This window comes from Homo sapiens, chromosome 5 (genome assembly GCF_000001405.40).
Source record: "Homo sapiens chromosome 5, GRCh38.p14 Primary Assembly".
Classification (NCBI taxonomy): domain Eukaryota; kingdom Metazoa; phylum Chordata; class Mammalia; order Primates; family Hominidae; genus Homo; species Homo sapiens.
Genome location: NC_000005.10, coordinates 7,650,548 through 7,668,560, shown reverse-complemented (window position 1 = coordinate 7,668,560; position 18,013 = coordinate 7,650,548). Strand labels below are relative to the sequence as shown.

Sequence of the window (18,013 nt, the reverse complement as noted above, 5' to 3'; positions counted from 1 at the left end):
TTTTAAATTCTCCATGTTATTCTTCTGATTTCTAGTGATCTCTGAAGTACCCATGTGTATTAGTTAGTTCTCCAGAGAAACAGAAAAAATAGGATGTGTCCATTGCTGTCTATCTGTCTATTGAGAGAGAGAGAGAACATTTACTTTTAGAAAGTGGCTCATGTGACTGCAGGAGCTGGCAAGTTAAGATTCCACAGGGCAGATGAGCAGTCTGAAGGTAGCCTGGAGGCAGAATTCCTTCTTCCTTTGGAGATTTCAGTCTTTCTCTTCAGGCCTTCAGCTGAATGGATGAGGCTCACCCGCATTATAGAGGGTAATCTGATTTACTCAGAGTTTACTGATTTAAATGGTAATCTCATCTTAAAAATAACCTTCACAAAAACATCTAGTCTTTGACCAAATATCTGGGTACCATGGCCTACCCAAATTGACACATTAACCATCCCACCATAGTTTCAGACAACTTAAATAATGAAGCACATACTTTGTAGAAAAAATATTTCCTCTCATCCTCACTAATTTTTCACTGGAGTTGTTTGTGTTGAAATCTAGAGGGATCATACAATTCATTTTTCCTGTCTTATTCTCCAGGAGAGTAGCCCATTTACCTGAAATGGCACAGACAGGTAGCTGTCAGCAAAGAAGAAGTCCTTGTTCTACAGAAGTCACACCAGATCACCATGGCATCACCTCTGCATCCCTGATACTGTCGTAGTGAGCAGACCCCATGTCTACACCATCAACGCTTAGAACGTCTTCTTAATAGAGGGAGGGAGGTTAAATAAGCATTGCTTTCACTTTCAATATCCTTTCCAACTATGGAATACTTTCATTTTAATTGATTTAATTACTTAAAGGCAATGAAAATTTAGTTAAGTTTAGTTAGTGGAAGATGATACACAAAATTGTTATCATATACAATGGTTACCTCATTGTGCTACCCACATCAGTGTAGAATGTATTCATTCCGACAGACAGAATGGCCTTTTCACTCCTGAACAAGTCTTGACATGTTATTTTATGAGCTTGGAAGGGGATATTATCATGTTAAAAGTATGAAGAAAAGTCAATGAATCACACATCTTAAATACTGAGAAACAGTTACTCAAAAAAATGTAGATATCTTTTGGAGTTTGGAACCAGATGAACAGATACCAAGAATGCTGGCTCTCCTGTTCTGAGGTCTCTTTAGCCTGAAACTTTCTGATGGTTTGAGAGTGGAACACGCGACCTTTGCAAAACATCTACATATTGAAGCCTGAAGGCAGAACTGAAGAAAGAACATGAAGCTTTCCTTCCCAAGACATGTCAGTCATCCCCGCCGAGACACCTATTATTTGTTTACTCTTGCACTTTCCCTCATCAGGAAAGTGGAAAAGCCTGGAAGTAGCTGCAGTAATCCTCTCCCCTTCTGACAGCTTGTGAGACAGTTTATTTGCTCATATGCTCTGAATGCTCTTTTATTTACCCGAGCATGAGTCTTGCCGTTCTTCATCCATCCATCTCTTGATATACATTGGGCTATCCCATCAAGTTCCAGGACAGCGCTAGCTACTGAGGACAAACAGGTGCCTAGAACACAACCCATCCCTGAGGAGTCCTTAGTCTATGCAGAGGAACTGGGGCATGAAGCTGAGACTAGTAATTAACCAGCTACCTTGGTAGCTGTTTTGTAAGAGTTATGTTCCAGGGAAAAACGCAAGCACACGGAGGGAAGACCAACTGCTAGGGAATAGAATCCATGACCCTGACCCACAGTGGGAGAGGATGGAGCAGGAAGGCAGGAAGCCAGGGGGGCAATATCAACTGAGCACAGAGCCGTAGGCACCGCCAGCACTGGCACTGAGGCCCCATGTGGGAAAGAGCTGAGCATTTAGAACCAGATAATGGGGGCTGAAGTCCCAATGCAGACATTATACACAGCTGTGCAATCTTGGACTTTACGTATGGGAATCTCAGTATCATCATCAGACCCATAAAGAAAACTCCACCCGGCCAAGCACAGTGGCTCACGCCTGTAAACCCAGCACTTTGGGAGGCCGAGGCGGTCGGATCATGAGGTCCGGAGATCGAGACCATCCTGACTAACACGGTGAAACCCCATCTCTACTAAAAATATAAAAAATTAGCCGGGCGTGGTGGCGGGCGCCTGTAGTCCCAGCTACTCAGGAGGCTGAGGCAGGAGAATGGTGTGAACCTGGGAGGCTGAGCTTGCAGTGAGCCGAGATCGCGCCACTGCACTCCAGCCTGGGTGACAAAATGGTCCTGGTGTAACAGGAGCACAAATAAATGCTAGTTCCTTTCCTCCTGGCAGCCTAGGAAATGGCCTCTTTAACATGTCGGTGGTATACGGAGGTGGTTCCTATCTCTCATAGAATTTAGACAAAGTGATTAAAGACTTTTTTTCCTAAGAATTAAATAAGGGCTGGGCGCAGTGGCTCACGCCTGTAATCCCAGCACTTTGGGAGGCCAAGGCGGGCGGATCACGAGGTCAGGAGATCGAGACCATCCTGGCTAACATGGTGAAACCCTGTCTCTACTAAAAATACAAAAAATTAGCCGGGCATAGTGGCGGGTGCCTGTAGTCCCAGCTACTCAGGAAGCTGAGGCAGGAGAATGGCGTGAACCCGGGAGGCAGAGCTTGCAGTGAGCCGAGATGGCACCACTGCACTCCAGCCTGGGCTACAGAGCGAGATTCTGTCTCAAAAAAAAAAAAAAAAAAAAAAAAAAAAGAATTAAATTAAAAAAAAACAAAACATAAATAGACCCAGAACAGATATCTTAAAGAGTAATATCAGAGAGATAGAGATGTGGCCGGGCAGCAGCTGAAATACAAGGAAAAAGAGCAGGAGAAGGAAACGAGCCAGTGTCTCTCCAGCGATGACCTAAGGAAAGGCCCCAGGAGAGACCAGTTGGGTTCAAGACCATCATCCATGTCCAGGTGTGACCTCGTCACGACAAGGAGTCCCAAAGCTCCACTTGATCTTATTTCTACTTGTGGGGCACGATGATGAAGGTAACTGACCTGCAAAGGGGGGAGTCACACATGGATGAGGTGGGACTGCTCAGCATCAATTCATAGATAATCTACTTTCTGCTTTCGATGCCTCAGTGTCTGTGAGCCTGGTGCAAGAGTGGGGTGCGTGTTTGGGGTGCTGACAAATTACACTGCTGAGTTCCCAATGGGAAAGGCCAGCCCTGGCTGGATTGAAAGGTCTGGCTGTTATCTGGGAAGCTATCTTGGTGGACATCCAGATGGACAACTGGGACATCCAGGCGGCAGCTGTGATCACTGCTGCCTTTAAATGCAGCCAAAGAAGGGAAGGAAAGGACAATGGTGTTGATGAAAAGAGTCAAACTCTGTAAAATATTTGAAGAGACTTATTCTGAGCCAAATATGAGTGACCATGGCCTGTGACATAGCCCTCAGGAGTTGCCAAGAACATGTGTCCATGGTGGTTGGGGCACAGCTTGGGTTTATATATTTTAGGGAGGCATGAGACATCAATCAAATACATTTAAGAAACACATTGATTTGCTTCAGAAAGGTGGGACAACTCAAAGTGAGGAGGAGGGGGCGGGGCTCCCAGGCTATAGGTAAATTTAAACATTTTGTGGTTGACAATTGGTTTGAGTTTATCTGAAGACCTGGGATCAATGAAAAGGAATGTTGAGGTTAAGGTAAAGGACTGTGGAGACCAAGTTGTACTGTGCAGAGGAATCTCTCAGATAGCAGACTTCAGAGAGAGCGCAGGTTGTAAAATGTTTCTTATTAGACCTAAAAGGGTGCCTGTCTCTTAGTTGATGATTTCCTGGGTCTGGAAAGGAAGAAGGAAAAAATGGGGATTCTCTATAGAAGGTGATTTTTCCCACAAGAGACTTTGCAGGGCAATTTCAAGGTATAGCAAGGAAATATATTTTGGGGTAAAACATTTTGATTTTCTTCCTCGTTATGCTCAGATTGGAAAGTAAGTCATGATATACAGGGTCACAGAAAACCCATGTGATGAGAATGTATGGTTTGTAGGGCATGACTCCCCAGACCCCTTAGATAGGAAATTGGGCAAGATAAAAAGTCAGAGCTTAGTTCTCAATGGCAAGCCTGTCAAGCCAGTGCTCCCCAGCAGGGAGTGTCTCCTTTCCATTCCTGAAGGGAAAGTCCTCCCTTACCATCGCTCTCTGAAAGTGAAAGTCTTACTGGAGGAAAGTGAGAGTCTTATTGTAAAAACGAATAGTTCTTTACAGTTGAAGTAAAATTTTTAAAATGAGTTTTCAATTCAGCTGAGAGAAAAAAAAATCACATGTTTTTCACATTGAACAGTTTGTGGCTATGTCCTTTAGGCTATTTGGTCCCATCTTTTGCCATTAAATGTTTTTATTAGAAGGCTTTACAAACAAATTCTTTTGAAATGTTCATTTAACCTCCATTTCGATGGTTTCTATAAACAGAAACTGCTAGTGTTACCTTGAAAACCCACTTCCAGTTTGTAGGGTTTTGTCATGCTAAACCTGGAAGCTTCCAGCTTGAGCTCAAAGGAATGGAAAGGGTACTTTAGGCATTGGATCCACACAATGGCCTCTCCAAAGAGTCACACTTCGGAAATCCTCTTCCAGCTTGAACTTCTTCAGTTGCTTCAGATACCTTCCTGACCTCTGCAATTCCCAGTTTAGAGAAAATTTCCCGTATAGCACAGAGCATAAACCTCCTTCCAAGAGAGAGTTCTGAGCTATGCAAAACTCTGCAGAGGGTGTGCCTGGCCTCAGGTGTTTGTCATTAATCTCAGGGCCCCACTTGCTAGAATCCCGACCCCAAGCCTATCGGCCTGACCAAATATGCTTCGTCCAACAGCCTCATGCAGCGGTCCATCTATGGAGGGCTCTGGCTGGTCTTCCAGAAGAAACAAGGTTCAATGATCAAGATCATGAAAGTGGCAGGCCCTAAGTAAGCCCCATTCCAGGCTCTTCCAAAGGACCTGGAATAAACACCCTTAATTCATTTCCTCCAACATGAGATTCCCAAGCTCACTAATGCAGAAGCCATGAATGTCTTCAGAGTTTCTCAGTTACAGTGCACAGTCCTGAGGTCTGTTGGTGGGCACTGAGGCTTGGGTACTAGGCTCCAGGCCCCCCCGTGGGAGGTGCTGCAATGGGCAGGATGCCAAACACAAAAGTGCACCCAGAGACATGGGGTGACTCTCACGCTAGGCGTGAATAGGGTCAGTGCCTGGGGCTTCCTGGAATTGTGCTTTTCACTGGGCCATTTATGCTTTATGTGGAGTGCCTGGGTGATGAGTTGGTGCTGCTATAGGTTTCTTTCTTCCTTTTTTTTGGTGTGGCTAAATCTGTGTCAATCTAGAAGGTGTGTACCTAACTCTGTCTACTGTAGTAATTTAATAGATGCTTATTAGTAGTATTAAGAATTCTGCTAGTGATATAAAAACCAGGAGATAAACAGATCAATATATTCGTTGATCTGGACTGCTGGATTTCTCCGTTAGGTCTCTAATATCTACTTAATCCAACACTAAACAGATGTTTGACAATCAATTGCTAATTCAAAATGAATGTATGAATTTCACTGCAGACATAAAGAAGCAGGCATGGGGTGAAGACCTCATACCACTCTTTAAACAGACGATGGTTTGGGTAAACTGTTGTGGTTCTATCAATTTCCTTGCTCATGCTAGGATTGGACCTGCTTCTGAGCATGCCAAAGGCAGTGTACCCAGAACTTCTCTGTGCTCTTGTTGCCTTCTGTAAAGCCCTTTCATGAAAATCTCTTTCAGGAGATTCTTTACGCAGGCTGACAACCAGGATAGGGTGGTCCGTGTGCAACAGCATCCAGGTAAGTGAGGCTAAGGATGATGGAGGAAACCGCGGTGGCTTTGGGGGTAAGAGAATAAGTATTCTTGGCAATGCTTTTCTAGACCTAATGCAAAATGTGTTCTAAGCTGTGTGAAATGCTACTAAAACATCCATGGTCCCAGCACTATAAATTAAAAATAGAACTGAAGGCAGTGCTGCCGTGCTGGGCTGGCAGGAGGCTGGCCATGCAGAGAGAGGCAGGAGGACATCTGTCTGCTGGGAAGGCTAGGAAAAGACTGACCAGGCTACTTCCGTGCTGGTGGCCACTATGCCGTGGAGGGGGCAGCAGCTGTTATCTGCACTAGCAACAGTTGGATGAAGGAGTCTCAGTTGCATTTCTGCCTGTAACCTTGAAATTGAGGAGAGGTATATTCGCCAATGGTCCCTTGCTTCCAGAACACTGATGGATGCTAAATTTTGCACATTTGCTTGTTTGGGAAATGCTGATATCCTAACCTAAGGAGTTCTGTTATCCTTTAGACCCCAGTATTGTCTCCCTAAAATCTAGAAATTATTTTTTCTTTTTGGTGTTTGTGTGTGTTGTACCAATAACTTTTATGTTATCCCTTGAGTGACAGTGATTAACAAAAGTGAGGAGGCTATGCGTGGTAAGGAGAATAATGGCTTTCCTCAAACATTCACATCTGAATGCCAAGAACCTGTGTATATGTTACCTTGCACAGCAAAAGAGACTTTGCTTTCAAAATAAAATAAAGATGAGGTGAGAAATGATCTATTTAAAAGAACATGCTATGGAGATATCATCTGTGAAAAGCATGCAATTAGAAATGTCTTTTTGTGTGATTTTCTTGACAAAAACACTCTAAACACTCTCATATCTGCACAGTGATATACCTTAGGAAAAGAATGTTTAAATTCAGTTAAAAATCTTCCAAATAAAGATTCAATGAGTCTTAAATCCATTTGCTTAAAAATAAAAATACAATTTTTTTGGTTGAATTTCAAGAACTGATTGACATCAGGACAGATGGAGACAGATCAGCTGAATTTTATCAAAACTTCCATGTCAGTGTGAACAGGATTGAGAAGTGAATATCGTGATTTGGAAGCCAGGTCACTGAGTATTACATCATTGAATCATTTATTCGACCATTAAAACCAAGTGTCGGGATAAACCAATCTTTGTAACAAGTATTTGATTGCAAAGTGTTAACTAAAATTTTCCTAAACATACCTTTTGATTGGGAGTTTAATCCACTTGCATTTAATATAATTATTTATTGGGAGGGGTTGCCTTTGCCATTTTGTTCACTGTTTTCTGTTTGTCTTGTGGTTCTTTTGTCCCTCTTTTTCGCTTTTGCCAAGTATGCATTTTCCATCATAAGACTCTTACCAAAAATATTAAAGGTTTAAAGTATTTTTGAGCTATTAAAAAGTAGATCTTTTAAAATATGTTTTAAATCTTTGTCTACCCTTAATTTTAACTTGTGATTTATAATCTACATAAATATTAGCACATATAATTTATGAATAAGCAAATATATATAATGACTGGTCAAAAATATTTACCCATAGGTGTGCACAATCAAAACAGTTTTGATGCCCCAAGCTTTAGAGATATATACCCCTGTCCAAATCACCCTTGTTTGTTTTCAAGTAGCCAAAGAAAATTAAAAAAAAACTTTACAAATAAGGAAATACACTGCCTTGGGACTTAGGGAAGCCAGTCATGCAGTGAAGATTTTTTGAGTTTCTACATTGCTTGGTGTTGGGACACTGGATTCTGCCTCCAGCAGCATGTACAAGGATCTTTCCTCACCTCCCATAGCTACCCTTCCCTGCTTCTGAGCTGAGATGGTTAATTTTATGTCAGCTTCAGTAGGCCATTGTGCCCAGTTGTTCGGGCAAATGGTAGTATAGATGTCACTGTGAAAGTATTTTTTTTTTAACATGTGATTAACATTTACAATTAGTTGACAGATTAAGTAAAGCAGATTACCCTTCACAACATGGTTGGGACTCATCCAATCAACTGAAGAACTTAAGAGTGAAGACTGAGATCCCCTGAAGAAGAAAGAATTCTACCTCCAAACTGTAAAATGGAAATTCTACCTATGTCTCCAGCCTTCTGACTCCAGACTGCAGTATCAACTCTTAACTTACTCTCCAACCTGCTGGCCTGCCTTACAGATCTCAGACTTGCCAGCACCTGTGATTGCATAAGCCAGTTCCTTAAAGTAAATTTCCTTCTCTATATATACACCTATGCCATTGTTTGTGTTTCTCTGGAGAACCCTGACTGCCCCACTAATCCATATGTAAAGGGAGCAAAATCAGAGTCAACAACCCTGTCCTGCCCATGCCTCTCTCATTCTTCAGAGAAGGATCTGAGCAGCTCAATATAGCTTCTCCTTCCCTTTTCCTTTCTCACAGTCCTTCCTTCCTTCCTTCCTTCCTTCCTTCCTTCCTTCCTTCCTTCCTTCCTTCCTTCCTTCTCTCCCTCCCTCCCTCCCTCCCTCCATCCTTTTCTTTCTTTCTTTTCCACTTTTATTTTGAGTTCTGGAGGTATGTGTACAGATTTGTTAAATGGGTAAATTGCATGTGGGTGAATCTTGGTGTAGGAATGATCCACTCATGGAAGTAGTAAGCATAGTACCTGATAAGTAGCCTTCCAACCCATGGCCCCTCCCACCTTCTCCTCTCAAGCAATCCCTGGTATCTATTGTTTCCATCTTTGTGTCCATGTGCATTTAATGTTAAGCTCCCACTTATAAGTAAGAATATATTGTACTTGGTGTTCACACTTACATAAGTAGCTCCATCTTTTATTACTGTGTTTACACAGGTCATCTGGTTATAGCCAATTTATTAGGCACACCAGTTTGGAAAGCAGGTAGTATGTAACTGGAGGCTCTCGCCGAGCACCTGGACAGTTGTGTGTAGCTGGGCCACAGTTCTAAATGCAAAGTCGAGTTTTCCAACTACTCCTAGGAATCTCTACTTTCATGTAAATTGCACAAGAATAATGAAACTGTTTCTTGTAAGTTGGGTCATTCTGGTGGTGTCGGCTCACAGCAGAGGTATTACTTATCCTTTAGTAACTCAATTTCCTGGTCCCACAAGTGTCCTGTTACAAGCTATGGACATAAGAGGACTAACTGCAAGTATAACTCTCAGAAACCACAGAGCTGTGGGTTTCAACACCAATTGCTAGAGGTTTTCAGCACATTTACAGAGAAAGAGACAATAAGTTTGGTGTCAATTTAACCAGACTGTTTCCATTTCCATTCAAAAGCTGGTGAAACACAATGAAATAACCAACACAGTACAGCAATCTGGGTATTATAAAGATAAATAGAACACAAATGTACATACTCACACATACACACAAAGAAGTCATGTTGGTTTATGCCAAATCTCATCTTAAATTGCACTGCATTGGAGAGATGTATGTAATTAGTTAAGTTACACATTATTTAACTGGAACTGGATTGAATAGAGTGAACAGCTGCAGAATAAGGAAAACCATACCTATGCTGAAAAGCAAACCTCTGTAAAGTTTTAGCCAGCAGCATTTCTCGTTTCTTTCATCTCAGAATCTGAGTATTAGCACATTGAAATATTTAGTTTTCAAAAGACTACATAAACTGCATCTTAGTGTTTTAAACCAAATCACCAAGAAAATTCAGTGTGATGGTAAATTTTACGTGTTAAGTTGACTGGGCCATGGTGCCAAATATGTTGTGGTCAAGCATTTTTCTAGATGTTTCTGTGAGAGTTGTTTTTGGATGAAATGAGCATTTAAATTGGTGATAAATCAAATTGTTCTTCCTAATGTGTTCAAGGCCTTCGAAAAAAAAGAGTTATTTCCCCCAAGCAAGAAGGAATACTGCAGTGAACGGGCTTTGAACTTGAACTGCAGCATCTGCTCTTCCCTCGGTCCAGCATGTAAGTTCACCCTGCAGGTTTTGGAATTGCCAGCCCCTATAATTGTGTGAACCAAACTTAAATGTCTTTCCATAGACACACACATTTTATTGGTTGTGTCTCTGGAGAACTCTGACTAATACACTTCAGATTTATACAATTTAATCCTTCTGCTTCCTTAGATTTGTGCTTTTTACAGAAGCAATGCAGTAAATACACTTCTTGGTGGGTGTGGTGCCTCATGCTTGTAGTCCCAGCTACTCGGGAGGCTGAGGCAGGAGAATCGCTTGAACCCAGAAGGCAGACATTGCATCACACCACTGCACTCCAGCTTGGGCAGCAGAGTGAGACTCCATCTCAAATATATATATATATACACACACACACACACACACACACACACACACAATTCTCTTCACTGGTGAAAAGGAGAAACAAAAACTTATAGAAAAAAAGCAAGTGAACATGACAAAGATCTGCACAACCCAAGAGTGGACAAATCTTCAGGAGAAGGGATTCAAGGAACCGGTTCATGAGAAAAACTGGAGAGGACAGCAACTATATGGAAACAGAAACTTCAGTTGAGGAAAGGTAGGGATATTCTCCACCCAGCGTGCAGGGGTTCAAAACAGTCCATCAGTGCAGTGCATTGGTTGGGTACAACTGAAGATCTCCATGTTCAGTAAAAGTCTTTGGCTGATCAGCTTTGATATCTGCCTCTTTGAACCTAGAAGAGGGTTCGTGTCGAAGGGTGAGGGACTCCTGCATTCACCACTGGAGACCTGAGGAAGGCAGAGATGTCACTGCACCTGGGGGTCTGGGTCTGCGACACTCATTTCCAATGAATGGTCCCTCCCGTCCATCAGCCTCAGTGGGAGCTGGGAGCTGCCTCCCTCCTCAGTCACAGCTGTCTGCTCTGCCTGGTTCTTATGGCTTTTCGGGAGAACTAATTGCTGGGAATTTTGGCATCTAAGTTTCAGCTGAGAGGGAAAAGTAAAGGTCTGGATTGTGCATATCTGAACAGACACTTGTGACCCCCGGAAACCTCATGGTGAGGAGACATTTCTATTGCAGGGGAGGCACATGTTTTTGGTCCTTGATTTGCGAACTTAGGTGATTAACCCTCACGTGTGTTTCGCCCTTAGTGCAGGAAAGAATGAAAGAGCATACCCCTATTAAGTACTTTGTTTATGCATTAAAAATTAAAAATGTGTCCTGGCATGTGTACACATGTGTGCATGGCAGGGAGATGGTGTGGGGCTGGAGCACAGGCAGAGAATAGCATTGGCTTGGGAATGGAGAGCCACTGTGACATATTTAACCCTGATCATCACTTCATGTCACTTTAATGTTCAGGGAAGACAGCATCATAGCACATATTTATTCCCATGTTTGTAGAAGACTTTGCCCTAATCTACACATTGCCCTAATCTACACATTCTGCATACGCAGAAAAGTATGCGTGATGAAGGAAGCAGACACTCAATGACTCAATGAGCTTCACTGATTTTCAACTATCCAGCACCCTGCCTCCTCAGCCCTCCAGTGGACTAACACTTTCCAAACTCCTTCATTTTGGGGAGCATGTTATTACAGGTTGAGCATCCTTTATTCAAAATGCTTGGGACCAGAAGTGTTTCGGATTTCAGAATTTTTTGGTTCTTGGAATATTTGCATATACAAATGAGATATCTTGGGGATAGGACCCAAGTGTAAACATGAAATCCACTTTTGCATATACATCTTATACACATAGCCCAAAAACAATTTTATACAATATGAATAATTCATACAATTTTAATAATTGCACGTGATGAAATTTGTGTTAAGCACTGGTGTGTGGAATTTTCCACTTGTGGTATCATGTTGGCACTTAGAAAGTTTCCGATTCGGAAGCATTTCAGATTCTGGATTTTCAGATTCTGGATACTCAACCGTTACTATGTGTTCAGAATTTGACAGCTCAGTCATAGAAGACTGCAGACTCTAAAATCAGATGCTTTCATTCCTAGGGACTATACCTGAACCCAGGATCTCTCATCCCCCTTCAGAGGGATTACAATCGCACATCTGCCTGAGTCACAGTGCACTCCCTCACATCCTTCCCACTTTGCTTATGTAATGAGATGATGAAATGCTGCCATATAGAATTCTGTACTCTGGTTCGAGTGCTATGAGTGGGGATGGGACAACTGGCTGCTCAGCTACCCAGACAATGAGGAAGGCCCTCAGGGCCCCTTTGACATGAGAGACTAAAAAGTATTTATAGCTCTATATAGACTTTCTGTTCAATAATGTCATTTAGTGAATTTTCCCAATTAATTTTCCCAGAGTGCTTATTACTTGGAATCAATTGATTAATTTTGTTGTAAACAATCCTGAAAAATTTTAAAGAGTAGAATCAGCATAGGATCAATGCAAGTCATCTAAGGAAGTGTTTTAGCACTAGCAGTTGGCCGGGTGCCGTGGCTCACGCCTGTAACCCCAGCACTTCGGAAGGCTGAGGCAGACAGATCACCTGAGGTCAGGAGTTCGAGACCAGCCTGACAAACATGGTGAAACCCCGTCTCCACTAAAAATACAAAATCAGCTGGGCATGGTGGCACATGCCTGTAATCCCAGTTACTTGGGAGGCTGAGGCAGGATAATCGCTTGAACCCGGGAGGTGGAGGTTGCAGTGAGCCAAGGTCATGCCATTGCACTCCAGCCTGGGCAACAAGAGTGAAACTCCTTCTCAAAAAAAAAAAAAAAAAGAAAATGAAAAAAACCTAACAGCTCATGTTTGAGGAGAGGTGTCTATGAGACAGGTGCTGTATCAACTGCTTTCCATGTTAACATCACAAATACCCTTATTTTACAGGACACAGCTCACAGGTGGTGAAGAAGCATCTGGGTCCAGACAGCTGAGCTCCAGAACCCAGACTGTGGAGACTCTGGTGTTTCAAAAGGTGATCAGATGCAGATGGGTGAGGGCTTTGTTTTGCTTCCCCACAATTCCTACACCATCTAACTGTACATTTACTTCTGACAAATAAAACATGTACTTTCTTATAGTTCTGTTAATTGGGCCACGTGATGGTTAATTCTACATGTCCACTTGACTGGGCCACGGCATGCCCAGATGAGCCATGATTTCTGGATGTGTCTGTGAGGGTGTCTGCAGATGAGACTGGCAATTGAATCAATGGACTTGGTAAAGCAGACTGCGCTCCCAGTGTGAGCGACCACCGTCCAATCTCTACTGAGGGCCAGAAGAGAACAAAAGGTGGAGGAAGGAGGAATTAGTCCCTGTTTTGGCTTCCAGCCTCCTGGCTTCAGCTGGAACGTCAGTCTTTTTCTCGTGAGCTGGGATTTTACATCCTGGACGTTCAGGCCTTCAGATTTGGCCTGGGTCACACCACTGGCTTTCCTGGGCCTCCAGCTTGCAGAAGGCAGGTCTTGGCACTTCCCAATCTCCATAATTGTGTTAGTGAACACTTCCCAATAGATCTCTTCCTGTATATATCCTATGGCTTCTGTTCTCTAAAGACCCCTGACTAATACAGTCCTAAAAACATTCAGACACTCAGAAATAACAACACAAGCAACAAAATAACACAATCAGGTAAAGTGCCATGAACGTAGCGCCCCTTTCCTACACAACCACTTTACAGTTACTGTTGGTTCCTTAGTCCCAGCCCTCAGTCATGGGAAACGCCTGCTCAGGACGACTTCCACGACAAAAGCCTTGGGAGCCATCCACCCCAAACTCAGAAACAACATTTCTAGATCTCTCAGTGTCTAAAACCTAACAGGGATCTCAAAGGGCATCTAAAATTTGAAACACGAATGTTTCAGCCAGTCACATCCTCTAGGTATGCATTTCAGAAGGTGCCACTCTCCAAGTAGGCAATGCTTATTTGCATTTTTTCCCCTAAACAGGGATTTCCAGGTCCCAAGATCTCGGCCTCCTTTTCAGTATTTCAAGATGTCCTAGGCTGCTTCCCCTTACTATTGACAGCAGTCCTGGGCATGTACACTCCTCTGGGCATTCGCATTTTCAGTGGCAGCAATGTTTATTAACTGCTCCCGTTTTCCACCCCTCTGTGTTTGCATGGGTGGAGGGCAAGGAAGGTGGGGTGTTTGGAGACACAAAAGGAGTAAGTCAAAGAGCATGAGGAAATGACAAACTTGTAAAATGAGAAGGCAGAAACACATATAACTCTAATAAAAGACAGGAGAAACAACCACCTGCCAGCATCCCCGCCTATGTCACTACATCCCTCCTGTAAGGGGGAAATGTCTGCTCCTGCTCCTGTCAGAGCTTCATGGAAGGAACCCATCCCTTCCTTCCTACTCAAGGATGTCGCTCCAACAGCCTATCTACCTCTCCACAACATCCATGTTTCCTTCTCTGCTGGATCATTCCATAGCGTACAGGCATGCTGCTCATTCCCTCATCTGTAAAATAACCTTCTCTCGATCCCGTTTTCCCTCTTGGCCTCCCTGTGCTGCAGTGAGGCTTCTCCCCGCCACCCCACCAGAGCTCCTCTTGTTAGGACACAGGCCATTGCCTTCTTCCTTCCTGAAACCCTGTCTACTGGGCTGTCTCTGTCTAGACACCATGCTCACCTGGCTTTCCTCTCGCTGGATGCGCCATCTCTTCCCAAGGCCCTTTCCTGACTTCTCTTTATCTCCTGGCTCTCTGAATGTCAGGAGTCCCGTGGTGACTGCGCCCAGCCTCAGGGTGGTAAATGCTACTGATCTGCTGGCTTCTCTCAAATGCAGATCTCTGGCCCAGCGCAGGTCCATGACCTCTAGACGTGTGGCTCCACTGGTCTTCTCAACAGCTCTTCTGGGATTTCTACCAAACTCCTCACAATGAAGTCTAGAACTGAACTCTTAATCTGCCCCCAAACTGACTCCTCCCCCAGGAGTGGTAAGAATTTATAATTTTTGAAAGCTCATGATATTTTGTGATAGGGAAATACCCACATAATAATATTTTATACTCATAAAACATGGGAAAAAAAGTGTCAATTGCAGAAGGTTATCTAAGGCAATTTTTGTTTAAATCAGTCAGCAAATATTTCTCATTTAGATCAGTATCCTCACTGTTTTAGATGCCAACATCAAGATAAAATATTTGTAATAAACTACCTAATATTTTCTAAGCTCTGTGTGCCAGGAAAAGAACAAATTCTTCACGTTTTTTTTTTTTTAAGACAGAGTCTCGCTCTGTCACCCAGGCTGGAGTGCAGTGGCACGATCTCACTCACTACAAGCTCCACCTCCCGGGTTCATGCCATTCTCCTCCCCCAGCCTCCTGAGTAGCTGGGACCACAGGCGCCCGCCACCACGCCTGGCTAATTATTTTTTGTATTTTTAGTAGAGATGGGGTTTCACCGTGTTAGCCGTCTTCACGTTTTTTACTCATTTAGTCCTCCCTAACACTGCAGCATGCATGGGGATGATTATCATCATGACTTTTTACATCTTCAAAGTCTCAACAAAGAGCAACTTGCCTGACATCTCACAAGAGTGAAACCCACGCCCAGGCTGGCCGGCTCGAGTCCACACTGCCTGCTCAGGGTATGAGAGTTGTCATGGCAAAAGGAAAGGGACAGAAAAGGAAGTATTTTGAAACTATATGTCTTAGAAATTGTACTTAGCATAAAATGTAACTCCTGTTGACAGAACTACCAGCATTCTGCACTGAAATGTCAGCCCTCCCTGTCTACACCCACAGGGCTAACAGATTCATGGAAATCAAAACAATATCATTTCCAGCACACAGTAACATGGAAACAACTCAGCATCATGGAATTTACTCATTTTGTCCATTCTAAAACTTGCTTCTTCCTCTTTTTTCTTTTTTTCCTTTTCTACACGTTTCTTCTCCTTCTGGATGATATTTTATTGCTCTCTTCACAGAGCTCACTGAAAAATGTATGTAATAGTGACAGGTCAGTGTGTCTTGGTCAGGGCACGCCACAGAGCAAGAGAGGGTCTCTTTGTAGAAGGCAAGGGAGCATCATTCCCCAGGCACTCATGAAGAACCTATGCCCAGCATCACCAGGTTGTCTTAGCATGTGTTTAATCAAGTAGAATCAGTGTCAGATCAGTTGCATTCACTTCACTGAGAGCCATACACTCAACATCTTTGAGCTTTGTGCTCCTGGTGTAAAATGAGGTTAACCTGACAAAAGGAATTCTATAGACCTTGTATACAAAATTAAGTAATCGTTATTCAACTGATAACAATTATACAGAGAATACAATGTCAGTTTTTAAATAGCATATCCAAAATGCGTCATACCCTAAAGAGTAGATGAAAGGGATAGTTCTCTGCATTGTTGTTATAATGTTAACTATACGGCCACGCTTTAAAAAAGATCAATGGGAAAAGTATTTTACGGTTGACACTTGAAAACTGAGTTTTTGTTCAGCAAGAAAAATAGCTCCAATTTGTATCAATCTTTCCCACTGATCTCTCTCTTTCTGTTCTCTTTCTCTCTCCTGTAATATAAAGGATTCATTTTTATACATGTCACTACTTAATGGGAAAGGTAAAGGAAGTGCCCACGGCTATAAGCAGGGAATGATTTAAAACTTGTACTGTTCATAGTTCTGTTGATCAGTTTTTAGGTCTGTGATAAATGTTGACATATCTCCTGCTCAGGGCTGGAACTCTCAGTAGGGTTAAAGTGATTTTTAAAAGAGGTGAGGCCAGGTGCGGGGGCTCACGCCTGTAATCCCAGCACTTTGGGAGGCCGAGGTGGGTGGATCACAAGGTGAAGAAATAGAGGCCATCCTGGTCAACATGGTGAAACCCCCGTCCTTACTAAAACTACAAAAATTAACTGGTCATGGTAGTGTGCACCTGTAGTCCTAGCTACTTGGGAGGTTGAGGCAGGAGAATCGCTTGAACCCAGGAGGCGCAGGTTACAGTGAGCCGGAATCATGCCACTGCACTCCAGCCTTGTGACAGAGCGAGACTCCATCTAAACAAACAAATAAATAAATAAATAAATAAAAAGACGTGAAGGTTGGAAGAGATGTTCATTAATGGACATGGTAATGGTTAACACTGAGTGTCAACTTGATTGGATTGAAGGATGCAAAGTGTTGCTCCCGGGTGTGTCTGTGAGGGTGTTGCCAAAGGATATTAACATTTGAGTCAGTGGGCTGGGAAAGGCAGACCCACCCTCCATCTGGGTGGGCACCATCTAATCAGCTGCCAGCGCGGCCAGAATAAAAGCAGGCAGGAGAGCATGGAAAGACTAGACTGGCTTAGTCTTCCAGCCTCATCTTTTTCTCGTGCTTCCTGCCCTCGGACATCGGACTTCAAGTTCTCTTGGACTTTCAACCACAGACTGAAGGCTGCACAGTTGGCCTCCCTACTTTTGAGGTTTTGGGATGCAGACATCCCTTTGGGATGAGGCTTCCTGGATCCTCAGTTTTCAGATGGCCTATTGTGGGACCTCACCTTGTGATCGTGTGAGTCAATACTCCTTAATAAACTCCCCTTTATATATACATCTATCCTATTAGTTCTGTCCTTCTAGAGAACCCTGACTAATACAGACATGAAATCAAAATTTACTAGAAGAATTGGCCATCAAACAAATTGCACTTTTTTGTATTGTTTCCTCTATCTTTGGTGCCTCGGATACGCTTGCTGGACAAACAGTTTTAAAGAAGAATGCTTTGATGCTGGGTTTCAAATTAGGACCCCTGGGTTGGGATGCGTACCTGCCACTGATCATGCAGGCAGCTACATAATCTAGAAGAAGCAGAGTTGCAGAGCTGCTGGATGAATCCCAGGCTGCATTCCTCTCCACAGGCCTCCCCTCTGCCAAGTCACCAAGGAGTGGTAACCTAACCACCGAGCAACGTCTTGTCAGTAAATCAGCACCCATTTATGCAAACATTACTCCCTGGGCAACCGCCCTACAAACAGAGAATGATTTCTGTTCCAGAAGCCATCCCGCCTTGCTCAATTCCATTTTGTTAGGATATGGGGAAAACATGTCTTTGTTCAACTCTATTTTCTTTTTAAATTGACCCTTACTCCATAAGGCTCAAAAGAATTGAAATTTTTAAGAGAAAATCACAGTTCACACTCTGTCCTCATTATTTCATTTAGAAAAACAGCAGCAGCAATACTGGAACATACAGAAATCGCAAGCCACTGTCCGGGGGGCAAGAACATAGAAAGGAAAGTCACAGAGGCTCCCACGCAGTGGGCTCAGGAAGGAGGAAGGCCTCTGTGGGGTTC

The 18,013-nt window shown here is 43.2% G+C and overlaps 1 protein-coding gene across 5 annotated transcripts in view, besides 3 other annotated features; it reads right to left on the bottom strand.

Annotated features, from left to right (window-relative positions):
• ADCY2 (adenylate cyclase 2) overlaps nucleotides 1-18,013 on the bottom strand; it is a 433,944-nt gene that overhangs the window by 161,521 nt on the left and 254,410 nt on the right. The gene's annotated exons all lie outside the window — the stretch shown is intronic.
• Nucleotides 350-1,549: an enhancer, noted in NCBI's record as "MED14-independent group 3 enhancer chr5:7667125-7668324 (GRCh37/hg19 assembly coordinates)". NCBI's record gives its function as "activates an origin of replication core promoter dependent on BRD2, BRD4, P300/CBP and CDK7 cofactors, and independent of MED14, by STARR-seq in HCT116 cells {active_cell/tissue: HCT116}" and the evidence as "EXISTENCE:reporter gene assay evidence [ECO:0000049][PMID:35650434]".
• Nucleotides 4,265-4,837: an enhancer, noted in NCBI's record as "OCT4-NANOG-H3K4me1 hESC enhancer chr5:7663837-7664409 (GRCh37/hg19 assembly coordinates)". NCBI's record gives its function as "activates a minimal SCP1, AML or CMV promoter by ChIP-STARR-seq in naive H9 embryonic stem cells {active_cell/tissue: H9 hESC(naive)}" and the evidence as "EXISTENCE:reporter gene assay evidence [ECO:0000049][PMID:30033119]".
• Nucleotides 4,838-5,411: an enhancer, noted in NCBI's record as "H3K4me1 hESC enhancer chr5:7663263-7663836 (GRCh37/hg19 assembly coordinates)". NCBI's record gives its function as "activates a minimal SCP1, AML or CMV promoter by ChIP-STARR-seq in naive H9 embryonic stem cells {active_cell/tissue: H9 hESC(naive)}" and the evidence as "EXISTENCE:reporter gene assay evidence [ECO:0000049][PMID:30033119]".